At 38.9% G+C, this 12,867-nt stretch overlaps 1 long non-coding RNA gene across 3 annotated transcripts in view; it reads left to right on the plus strand.

The window, feature by feature from the left end:
• The first annotated feature begins 7,197 nt into the window (after positions 1–7,197).
• Positions 7,198–12,867, plus strand: part of LOC107985855 (uncharacterized) — a 78,008-nt gene continuing 72,338 nt past the window's right edge. For all 3 annotated transcript variants that reach the window (XR_001739298.1, XR_001739300.1, XR_001739299.1), the window contains exon 1: positions 7,198–7,473. This is a non-coding gene — a long non-coding RNA (uncharacterized LOC107985855). The remainder of the gene's footprint in view (positions 7,474–12,867) is intronic.

The raw sequence follows: 12,867 nt of genomic DNA on the forward strand, positions 1-12,867 counted from the left end.
CTCTGTATGAGGCTCTGTGCTCATTGCTAGCATGACAGACAAGAGCAAGACACTGTTTCTTCCTTAAGTTGTTGCCAGGAAATAAATACCTTTTACAAATGCTCCCAAGATGGATGTGGACATGGATGTGGACAAATTAGAACCTTTGTGCCTTGCTGGCAGGAATGTGAAATGGTGCAGCACTGTGGAAAATAGTCTAGCAGTTCCTCAAAAATTAGCATAGAATTACCACATGATTCAGAGGTCCCACTTCTACATATATACCTCTAAAGAACTGAAAGAAGGTAGCAGAACAGATACTTTTACACCCATGTGCATAGCAGGATTATTTACAATAGACAAAAAGTGAAAATAACTCATATGTCTATCAAAATAAAAGGATTAAAAAATGTGGTATATATATGCCATGGAATATTTTTCAGCCTTAAGAAAGAACAAAATTCTGATACATGCTACAGCTTCTATCAGCCTTAAGAACATTATGCTAAATGAGTGAAGTAAGCCAAACACATAAGGGCAAACATTGCATGATAATTTTTTTTTTTTTTTTTTTTTTTGTGTCAGAGTCTCGCGCTGTCTCCTAGGCTGGAACATAATAGCACGATCTCTGCTCACTGCAACCTTCGCCTCCCTGGCTCAAGTGATTCTCCTGCCTCAACCTCTCAAGTAGCTGGGATTACAGGTGCCCGCCACCATGCCTGGCTAATTTTTGTATTTTTAGTAGAGACAGGGTTTTACCATATTGGCCAGGTGGGTCTTGAACTCCTGACTTCAAGTGATCCACCTGCCTAGGCCTGCCAAAGTGCTGGGATTACAGGCATGAGCTACTGTACCTGGCGTGTATGATTCTTCTTATAAGAGATATCCAGAATAGTCAAGTTCATGTAGAAGGAAAGTAAACTAGGGCTTACCAGAAGCTGGGAGGAGGGGGTAATGAGTGTTTAATGGGTCCAGAATGTCAATTTGGGATAAAAAAATTCTGAAGATAGATGGTTGGGATGGTTGCATAACAATATGAACGTGCTTAATGCCATTGAACTGTACACTTAAAACTGGTTAAAATGGTAAATTTAGGAGGGCAGATCATTTGAGCCCAGGAGTTTGAGACTAACTGGTCAACATAGTGAAACCCCATCTGCAAGAAATACAAAAATTAGCCGGGCATGGTGGCAGATGCCCATAGTCCCAGCTACTCAGAAGGGTAAGATGGGAGGATCACCTGAGTCCAGGGAGGTCGAGGCTGCAGTGAGCTGAGATCACACCACTGCACTCCAGCCTGAGCAAGAGAGTGAGACCCTGTGTCAAAATAAATAAATAAATAAATAAATAAAATGATAAATTTTATGTTATGTATATTTTACTACAGTAAAAAAAGAAAAGGCAGAGGGGTTGCTGTAGGGAGAGTTCTAAGACCAAAAGACCAAATCTTAGTCTGAAGATGTAGTATTGTTTCTGTAGCTTTCAGGACTAAGACAGACAGGGCAGGGGCATGGGATGTGGGTTTGAGGCAAACAGTCAAACTCGAAGGAACCTTGATCTCTACCTGTGTACCAGGGCTCACTTAGCCTGTGGCCAACCCAAGGTTGTATTTCCTGGATCAGGTGGCTATGGCCTTAATGATTCTCAAAGCTTTTATAAATATCTTCATGAAACCCCTGCTGACAAAGTGAGAAATCTGGAACAATTGTGCAAAGTTTGTTTTTAATAATTGGAAAATGATATCTAAAAAGAATATATGATTTAGGCTGAAAAAGCAGAAATTTGATTCATTTTTTTCCACCAAGAAACTATGTGCAATCCTCTGTTAACACCAGAGCATCACAGGGAAATAGACTTTTGGGGAACAGATTCAACTGCCTTGAGTCCAGAGTGAGATCAACAAGACAGAAAATAGAGCAGGGTAGGAGGAGAGATCCTCCTCAGTTAGTGGTGTCTTTGTCATTTATATTCCTAGAAAGAAAGACAAATGGCTTCAGACTCTTGAGGCCATCTGGTAGTCTTTAGCATCTACTAGGGGGATCTTGTTAACATTCTGAAACTTGGGCCCCTATAGACCTCCCAACTCTTCAGTAGCAGGACCTGAGATGCTCTCAGGGTCTCTCAAATTTTACCTTTCTTTAAAATCGCCTATAAAACTACAGATGGCTGGACCCAACCCCAGCGTTTCTGATTCAGTGAGTCTGAGTTGTCATCTGAGAATCTGCATTCATAACAAGCTCCCAGGTGTTGCTGATACTGCTGGTCCAGGGATCACCCCTTTGAGAACCACAGTTTTGCATTGACAGCCCTCCTCAGACATCTCTGATAATCAGTCAGATTTTGTAAACCCTTTGAGAAACAGCCATCTGTGGGAACCACCAATAGCTTTTGTCTTTCTTTGGATTTAGTTTTCAAAATCATACCTCTGGAGGTAGGGAAGGAAATGCAAGCTATAATAAAAGTGAGGAAATAAAATGATCAATTCATGGGAGGTTTTCCTAGTCTGGCCCCTTTTCTAATCCGCACATTCATTGCATATGGTGTCTTCTACACCAAGGCAAGATATGATTTGGGTCTGTGTTTCCACCCAAATCTCATGTCGAATAGTAATTCCCAATGTTGGGGGAGGGGCATGATGGGAGGTGATTGGATCATGGGGGCAGATTTTCCCCTTGCTGTTCTCATGACGATGAGTGAGTTCTCATGAGATCTGGTTGTTTAAAATGTGTAGTACCTTCTGTCTTGCTCTGTGTCTCCTGCTCTGCTATGGTAAGACATGCTTGGTTCCCCTTCACCCTTCTGCCATGATTGTAAGTTTCCTGAGACCTTTCAGTCATGCTTCCAGTGAGAATGGACTATATAGAATATTGGTACTAGAGAAGCAGGGCATTGCTATAAAGATACCTGAAAATATGAAAGTGGTTTTGGAACTGGGTAATGGGCAGAGGTTGGAACAGTTTGGAGGGCTCAGAAAAAAGACAGGAAGATGAGGGAAACTTTGGAACTTCCTAGAGACTTGTCAAATGGTTGTGATCAAAATGCTCATAGTGATATAGACAGTGAAGTCCAGCATGAGATGGTCTCAAATGGAGATGAGAAACTTACTGGGAATTGGAGTAAAGGGGTCACTCTTGCTATGCTTTAGCAAAGAGACTGGTGGTGTTGTGCCCTGCTCTAGAGATCTATGGAACTTTAAACATGAGAGAGATAATTTAGGGTATTTGGCAGAATAAATCTCTAAGCAGCAAAGTGTTCAAGATGTGGCCTGGCTGCATCTAAAAGCCTAAGCTCATTTGCGTAAACAAATGAATTACCTGAAACTAGAACTTATATTTGGAAAATTTGCAGCCTGACCATGTGATAAGAAAAACAACAACAACAACAACAACAAAAATGTTCTCAGGAGGAATTCAAGGCTGCAGACATTTGCATTAATAAAGAGGAGCCAAATGTTCATAGCCAAGACAATAGGGAAAATGCCTCTAGGGCATTTCAGGGACCTTGGAGGCAGCCCCTCCCATCACAGGCCTGGAGGCCTAGGAGGGGAAAATGACCTCATGGGCCAGGCCCAAAGTCCTGCTGCCCTGTGCAGCCTCTGGACATGGTGCCCTGCATTCCAGCCACTCCACTTCCAGCTGTGGCTAAAAGGGGCCAAGATACAGCTCAGTTCACTGCTTCAGAGGCTGTAAGCTCCAAGCCTTGGTGGCTTTTATGTAGTGTTGGGCCTGTGGGTATGCAGAAGGCATGAGTTGAGGTTTGGGAGCCTCTGCCTAGATTTCAGAGAATGTATGGTAATGCCTAAATGTCCAGGCAGAAGTCTGCTGCAGGGGCAGAGACCTCAAGAACATCTACTAGAGCAATGTGGAGGGGAAATGTGGGGTTGGAGCCCCCACACAGAGTCCCACTGGGGCACTGCCTAGTATTGCTGTGAGAAGAGAGCCACTGTCCTCCAGACCCCAGAATGGCAGATCCATTGACAGCTTGCACCATGCACCTGGAAAAGCTACAGGCACTCAATGTCAGCCCATGAAAGCAGCTGCAGGGGTTTACCCTGCAGAGCCACAGGGGTGGAGCAGCTCAAGGCATTGGGAACCCACCGCTTGCATCGGTGTGGCCTGGATGCATGACATGGAGTTAAAGGAAATTATTTTTTAACTTTAAGATTTAATGACTGCCCTGCTGGTTTTTGGACTTGTATGGAGCCTGTAGTCCCTTTGTTTTAGCCAGTTGCTCCCTTTTGGAATGGGGGCATTTACCCAATGCCTGTGCCCTCATTGTGTCTTGGCAGTAACTAACTTTTTTGTGATTTTACAAACTCATAGGCAGAAGGAACTTACCTTGTCTCAGATGAGACTTTGGACTTGGACTTTTGAGTTAATGCTGGAATGAGTTAAGACTTTGAGGGTCTGTTGGAAAGGCATGATTATATTTTGAAATGTGAGAAGAACATGAGATTTGGGAGGGGCCAGAGCCTGAGTAATATGGCTTGCCTTTGTGTCCCCACCCAAATCTCATGTCAAATTGTAATTCCCAATGATGGGGGAGGAACCTGGTGTGAGATGATTGGATCATGGGGGCAGATTTCCCTCTTGCTGTTCTCATGATAGCAAGTGAGTTTTCATAAGATTTGTTTTTTTTTAAAGTGCATAGCACTTCCCCCTTTGCTCTCTTTCTTGTGCTCCACCATGGTAGGACATCCTTTCACCCTTCTGCCACGACTGTAAGTTTCCTGATGACTTTTGAACAGTCTGCAGAACTGTGAGTCAATTAAACCATTTTTCTCCATAAATTACCCAGCCTCAGGTAGTCTTTATAGCAATGTGGGAACAAACTAATACACATGGAAATCACTGACTGAAAGGGGAACAACTGATAAGTCAGACCATGACCATCAATTTTGTTCTTGAGTGAAATCTAGCCAGTTTAACTCATTTGCCATTTTCGTTAAGTTGTGACTGCTGGGGAAACTGAGTCCTCCATCCATGGAATGAACCACTTGAAACAAAACCAGTGACCAACACAGGTGCAATTGACATGCAGAGATGTTTAACTGACTTGATGAAGGGGAATGATAAGAAGTTCCTAGGTCAAGAGAAGGGCTGGAAAGTGACCCCTAGGCCTGGAAAATAATAGGATCAATGTGAAGTTCAGATCTGGGAATGAATGGGGCTCTGTCATCTTGTGAAGTCTGAGGAGCTGATGTTACTGTTGCTTTGGCCAGACGAATGGCTCACTATCTAGTTGAAAATGCTTCCACAAGAACTGGATGGGGACACAAGCAAATAACCATGGCACTCCATCCTGACCCTGGGACCAAGGAAGTCTCTAAAGAAAAATTGCAACAGGATTAGTACTACTAACATGGCCTCGTATTTCTACAATGGTCTACCCTTTATTTTATTGTTTTATTTTATTGGACCTCAGGTTGCATAGACTTGGATTAATTATAATCGTGATATACACTAATTATTGGTCAATTATTGGTGACTTTTATTTACTTAACCTTAATTATTATTTTCTTTTTTTCTTTTTCTTTTTTTTTGAGATGGAGTCTTGCTCTGTTGCCCAGGCTGGAGTGCAGTGGCACTATCTCGGCTCACTGCAAGCTCCGCCTCCTGGGCTCACGCCATTCTCCTGCTTCAGCCTCCTGAGTAGCTGGGACTAGAGGTGCCCACCACCACACCCAGCTAATTTTTTGTATTTTTAGTAGAGACGGGGTTTCACAATGTTAGCCAGGATGGTCTCGATCTCCTGACCTCGTGATCCACCCACCTTGGCCTCCCAAAATGCTGGGATTACAGGCGTAAGCCACCACACCCAGCCTAATTATTTTTAATAATGCAGCAAGTATTCTTGAAAACACCATCTAAAACAAAAGCTAAGACCTTGACTATAACCAACCCATCCTTCTGCCTCCTTGTTCCCTCTCACAAGGCAATCAATGTCTGAGATCCTGTGTTAGTTCACTTGCTTCCTTTATTATAAAGTGTTATTGCCTCTTTATGTAACACCATTGTGTATACAGATTATATATGATGTGCACATTATATATAATTGTGTGTAAATGCAAACATATTCACTTTAGTTGTTTTTATTTTTACCAAAAGGATGTTATACTGTATGTAATCCTTTGAGATTTACTTCTTTTACTTAACTTTACATTTTCAAGATTAATACATATTGTTACACTTCTCTGTGTTTCTTTTATAACTGTTGTATAATATACAAGTGTGAGAATATATCACACTGCATTTACTCTCCCTTTGACAGGCATTTGGGTTGCTTCTAATTGTTTTTGCCATGAGAACATTGCTGTAATGGATACTTTGGTACATGTATCCTATATCCTCCAATAGTTTCTCTTTTCCATTCTAGTAGGACATGGTGCCTCTGTGACATCATAAAGTTATTTACATGCATTTGTTTGTTTCTGAGCTCTCTATTCTATTCCATTGGTCAATGTGGCTGTCCTTCCATCAATACCAGACTGATCCAATTATTACAGCTTCATAGTAAGGTGGTGTTTGGTAAGGCAAGTTCCTTATTCTTGTTTTTTTTCAGAAGTATCCTTGTTAGACTACTTTTAGCACTTAACTCCTTCATATATATTTTATAATCATCTCATTAAAATTCATTTAACAATACCCTAGGTGGAATTTTTATTTAAATTCCATTGAATCAATTTGAATCAATAGATTGATTGGGGAGAACTGATAGCATATAAATAGTCTACTCACAAATATATTTCTCTATATATATCTTCTTTAATATCTCAGTAAACTAAAAAAAATTATAGAGGTCTGAAACATCTTCTGACAGTTGTAATTTATTGTCTTTTCTTTGTGTTTTCTATGTTTCAGGTTGTGTTTAGAACAGCAGTTGACATTTTTATATTGCTCTTGTACCCAGTTATCTTGCCAAACTCTCCTATTATTTTTTTTCTTTTCTTTCTTTATTTTTGAGACAGAGTCTCTCTCTTTGTTGTCCAGGCTGGAGTGCAGTGGCATGATCTTGGCTCACTGCAACCTCCACCTGCAGGGTTCAAGCGATTCTCCTGTCTCAGCCTCCCAAGTAGCTGGGATTACAGGTGCCCACCACCACGCCCAGCTACTTTTCGTATTTTTAGTAGAGATGGGGGTTTCACCATGTTGGCCAGGCTGGTCTCGAACTCCTGACTTCAGGTGACCCACCCACCTTGACCTCCCAAAGTGCTGGGATTACAGGTGTGAGCCACTGCACCCAGCAAACTCTCCTGTTATTCTAATCATGTACAGGTAGTTCCTTTTGGTTTTGTAAGTAAAAAAGCATTATCATCTGCAAGTATTGACAGCTTTTTATCAACTTAAAAAGTTTTTATGCACCTTTTTATTTTTTCTGGTTTTATTGCCCTAGCAAAACTCTTCAATACATTGTTGCCTAAATGTGGCAATAGAATAATTTTTTTTTTCCATTTCTAACTTGGAAGAGGATTCTTCCAACAATTTTTCATTTAGGGTAAGTTTTGCTTTAAATATTTAATGTACATTGTTTATTGTGTTTATTTATTTCAAATTTTCTAAGAGTCTTATTAAGAACAGGTGTTGAGGCCAGGCGCAGTGGCTCAGGTCTGTAATCCCAGCACTTTGGGAGGCCGAGGCGGGAAGATCACAAGGTCAGCTGTTTGAGACCAGCATGGCCAACGTGGTGAAACCCGATCTCTACTAAAAGTACAAAAATTAGCTGGGCATGGTGGCGGGCACCTGTAATCTCATCTACTCGGGAGGGTGAGACAGAAGAATTGCTTGAACCTGGGAGGTGGAGGTTGCAGTGAGCCAAGATCACAGCACTGCACTCCAGCCTGGGTGACACAGCAAGACTCCATCTCAAAAAAAAAAAAAAAAAAAAAAAAAACAATGAATGTGAATTTTACCAAATGTTTGTAAAATGAATGGTTGTTTTAGGGATTAAGGTTATACTAGCTTCATTGAAGAAATTGGGTCATTCTCTCTTTTTCTGCTGTCTAAAGGAGAATATATTTGTTTAAAGTTTGGTAGAACTTGAATGTAAAATCATCTGGTTCTGGTGTTTTCTTTGTGGGAAGATTTTAATTGCTGCATTAGTTTATCAATAATTATAAGACTATCCAATTTATTTTTTCTTGAGTTCTGTTTATACTTTTCAAAAATATTTGTCCATTTTACCTAAGTTTTCAAAGTTGCAGGCAAATAGTTGCTATATTAGTTTTTTGTCCCTTCTAATGTCTTATTTATCTGTCTTTATGGCCCAAATTATACCCCACTTTTCATTATTAATTTTTGCCTTTTATCTTCTTCTCTTGATCGATCTTGTCATGTTTGTTTTTTTCCAACTTTTGACTTTTTGATATTTTTAATTATATCTTTGTATTTATTGTGTTGATCTCTGCTCTTAATTTTATTATTTTCTGCTTCTGCTCTCCATGGTTTTATTATCTCATTCTTATTTCTTAAGAGGGACACTTAACTCCTTAATTTTAAGACCTTCTCCCTTTCTAATATTATTTATGGCTTGTATTAAAAAATATGATATCTCACACAAGTTTTGATATATTTTGTTTTCCTTATTGTTGGGTACTAAATATTTAAAAAATTAATTATGATTTATTCAGTAACACATACTTTTTTAGTGTTTATATTAAAATTTTAAAATGGAAACTTAAAATATTTTGTAAACATAATTTTATTATGTTGTGTTCAAAGGTTATGGCCTGTATAATTCTTTTTGAAATTTAATTTATTAAGGCTTTCTTTTGCTAATACCTAATCAGTTCTCTCTCTTTCTCTCTCTCCTTTCTCTCTCTCTCTTTTTTTTTTTTTAGAGATAGGGTCTTGCTTTGTCACCCAGGATGGAGTACAGTGGCATGATCATAGCTCATGGCAGCCTTGATCTCTTGGGCTCAAGTAATCCTCCTGCCTCAGTCTCCTGAGTAGCTGGGACTACAAGTGCATGCCACCATGTGTGGCTAATATTTATTTATTTATTTTTTTGTAGAGATGAGGTCTCACTCTGTTGCCCAGGCTGGTCTTGAACTCCTGGCCTCAAGAGATCCTCCCACCTTGGTCCCCTAAAATGCTGAGATTACAGGTATGAGCCACTGTGCCCAACTACCTGCTCAGTTTTTCTAAATGACCCATACTATAGTTGAAAAAAGTAGATATTCTCTAACTATTGGAAGGAGACTTTATAATTGCTCATTAGTCAAGATTCTTAATTAATTCTCTATAATACTATGATTTTGCAGAAATATCTGTAATAAGCCACAAAGGAAGCTAGACCCATTTTTAGAGCCAGAGCAATTACCATCTGCCTCCCAATTTTATGGGCTGGCCATCATAATCTTGGCTTTCTTGTTCCAGAGTCTGTCAAACAAGGTCTCACTACAATGACTATACAACTGAGATATTTTGCAGTTCTTTTATATCCTTCCTAATTTTTTTCAGCTTGTACGATCAATAATCAAGAGAGATGTGTTGAAATCTTAAAATGTAATAGGAAATTTGTTCACTTCTCTTTGTATATTTTGCTTCACTTGTATTGAGACATTTTTATTAAGTTCAAAATATTTAAAAGTTGCTGTAGCTTCTAAATTCATTAAAATGTCTATTCTAGTCATGCAAGGATGGCTCAATCATTAGAAAATAACTCACTACATTCTTAATAATGCTTTATATTTCAAAATTAGTTTTACTTGTTTAATGTAGGTTTTAAAGAGCTTAGTTAAAATAGTTAAAGCAGGTTTCTTTTAGTTAGCATTTGTCTTGTATTTACTTTATCTTTTTAATTTTAATCTTTTCAAAATTTTTATTTATTTATTTATTTATTTTTGAGATGGAGTCTCGTTCTGTTGCCCAGGCTGGAGTGCAGTGGTGCAACCTCGGCTCACTGCAACCTCTGCCTCCTGGGTTCAAGAGATTCTCCTGCCTCAGCCTCCCGAGTAGCCGGGATTACAGGTACCCCCTACCATGCCCAGCTAACTTTTGTATTTTTAGTAGAGACTGGGTTTCACCATGTTGGCCAGTCTGATCTCGAACTCCTAACTTCAGGTGATCTGCCTGCCTCCACCTCCCAAAGTGCTGGGATTACAGGTGTGAGTCACCACTCCCAGCCTAATTTTAATCTTATGTTTTATGTGTGTCTCTGGTAAACATCACGGATTTATAAAATCAATCTAATTTTTTCTTTCCTTTGGTGAATTCATTAATTTAATTTTATGTAAATTATTGATAAATTTGGGCTTGTTTCTGCCATTTTACTATATTTATTTCAGTGTGTCCCACCTTTTATGATTAAAAAATCCTTTTTTAAGACTTAAGATTGGGTACAGTGCACACTGTTCGAGTGATGGGTGCACCAAAATCTCAGAAATCACTACTAAAGAACTTATTCATGTCAGTGAACACCAGCTATTCCCCAAAAATCTATTGAAATTTAAAAAATCCTTTTTATATGTTTAAATATATATATTACATATATATTATATATATATGTAATATATATATATTTAAAGTTCTTATTTTACTAAGCCTATCAAGATCCCTGGAGTTCCCCATTCACAACCACCATATTGATAGTGTCTACATTTAACTCTGGATAAACTATGGATTATTATATTTATATTTCTCTTTTCCTTTAATCTTAAGTTATTTTCCAGATAATTACAAATTTTACCAAAATATTTGATCCCTTTTCAATGTGTGCTTGTGCCCTTGTGAAGAAAAACTTTTGAAATTTTTTATGCCAGGTAATATTTTTATCATGACTTCATGTATGAATGACAGTTTGGCTTGAAATTAAATTTTGGATTCTAAGTTCTTTTTCTTCAGTACTCTAAAAATATTACTTCGTTATCTTCTTGCATCAGTATTGCTGCTGAAAAAAACCACATGTCATCTTATTCTTGTTCCTTCATAAATAATTTGTAGGCCAGTGCGGTTACTCACGCCCAGCACTTTGGGAGTAATTCCAGCACTTTGGGAGGCCGAAGCGGGCAGACCACGAGGTCAGGAGATTGAGATCATCCTGGCTAACATGGTGAAACCCCGTCTCTACTAAAAATACAAAAAAAAAAAAAAAAAAAAATTAGCCAGGCATTGTGGCAGGCACCTATAGTCCCAGCTACTCGGGAGGCTGAGGCAGGAGAATGGCATGAACCTGGGAGGCAGAGCTTGCACTGAGCCGAGATTGCACCACTGCACTCCAGCCTGGGCAACAGAGCAAGACTCCATCTCAAAATAAATAAATAAATAAATAAATAAATAAATAAATAAATAAATAAATAATTAATTTGTACTTTTCCTTTGACACTTTTATAATTTTCTCTTGATATTGTTAATTTCATTATAATACATCCTGTTCTAGTTTTCACCACTCATCTCTCTTCTTTCATTCTGAAGTCTTTCAGCTTTTTCTAATTCTGGCAAATGTATCTCTATTACTTACTTAAATATTTCTTTTTGGTGGCTTTAGTCTCCATTGGGCAAAACACACTTTTCTTTCTTTCTTTCTTTTTTTAAAGATGAAGTTTTGCTCTTGTTGCCAGGCTGGAGTGCGATGGCACAATCTTGGCTCACTGCAACCTCCGCCTCCCAGGTTCAAGTGATTCTCCTGCCTCAGCCTCCTGAGTAGCTGGGATTACAGGCGTGTGCCACCACACCTAGCTGATTTTGTATTTTTAGTAGAGATGGTATTTCTCTATGTTGGTCAGGCTAGTCTCGAACTTCTGACCTCAGGTGATCTACCCTCCTTGGCCTCCCAAAGTGCTGGGATTACAGGCGTGAGCCACTGCGCCTGGCCAGGCAAAACACACTTTTATAGGTGTAATCAAGAAAATGGAGATGAGCTTACTGACAGTAATTCTGTGTGGCCCCTGTGCCAATAAGCGTATGGCCCAGATAATTGAGACCTTTTCTTCTCCCATTTTGCAAACATCTATTGGGATATGAATGCCTCCACCTCTTAATGGTCATACTTAAGCTTCTTAAATTCATTTCTATCTTTTAAATTTTTCTGTCTCAGTCCTCATGGTAAGATTTTCAGTTATCAACTCTTGCTTCTAGTGTTTTCTTTTAGTTAGTTTGTTAGATCTGTTTAGTAAATGTATACAGAAAGAATATATCAACAGGCTTCATATAGAAGACTGGAATATGTCCAGTTAATTATGACCATGAGTTTAATGACATTTTTTGCATGCTCAGATATTTTCTTGCTTTTTCAAGGTATAAGAAAGAACTTAATTAGTGTATTTTGGTAATGAAAAATAAAAATTTTAAACCTCTTCAGTTTATGTACAGAGATCATCATCAGTGTGGGTCTCTGGGAAGTCACAGAATGCTGATACACCCTTGGCCTGGCAGTGAGAAAGCAGAGGACAGCGGGGATGGGGAGTGCTAGTTACCATGTGACCCATAGGGCTTTTCTAATGTTGAGTCTATATCTCTCAATTGAGACCAATTTGATTTCCAATTCTGGCTCCCCCATTATCTCATTTTGTGAGTTTGTACAAATGAATTATCATCACTGGGTCTCTGCTTCCCTATCCATATAGGAAGTCTATTTGGAAAATCTCCATAGTGTCTTCCAGCTCTGGAAAACAAATTTTTCTGGTTGGAATGAAGTTGAACCTCTATGTTTTTGTAGAAATATTTGTGAAAAACTGCAAAGAAAGCTAGACTCATTCTTAGAGCTACAGCAATGACCATCTGCTTGCCAATATTATGGGCTGGTCATCATCACCTTGGCTTTTCTTGTTGCAGTGGCTGTCAAGCAAGGTCTTACCACAATGACTATACAATTGAATCTTTAGAATCAGATCTAAAACACATAATGACAGATCTGATTGACTGCTGATTTGACACAAACTACAACAATTAC

The sequence above is a fragment of the Homo sapiens genome, chromosome 2 (genome assembly GCF_000001405.40).
Source record: "Homo sapiens chromosome 2, GRCh38.p14 Primary Assembly".
NCBI lineage: Eukaryota > Metazoa > Chordata > Mammalia > Primates > Hominidae > Homo > Homo sapiens.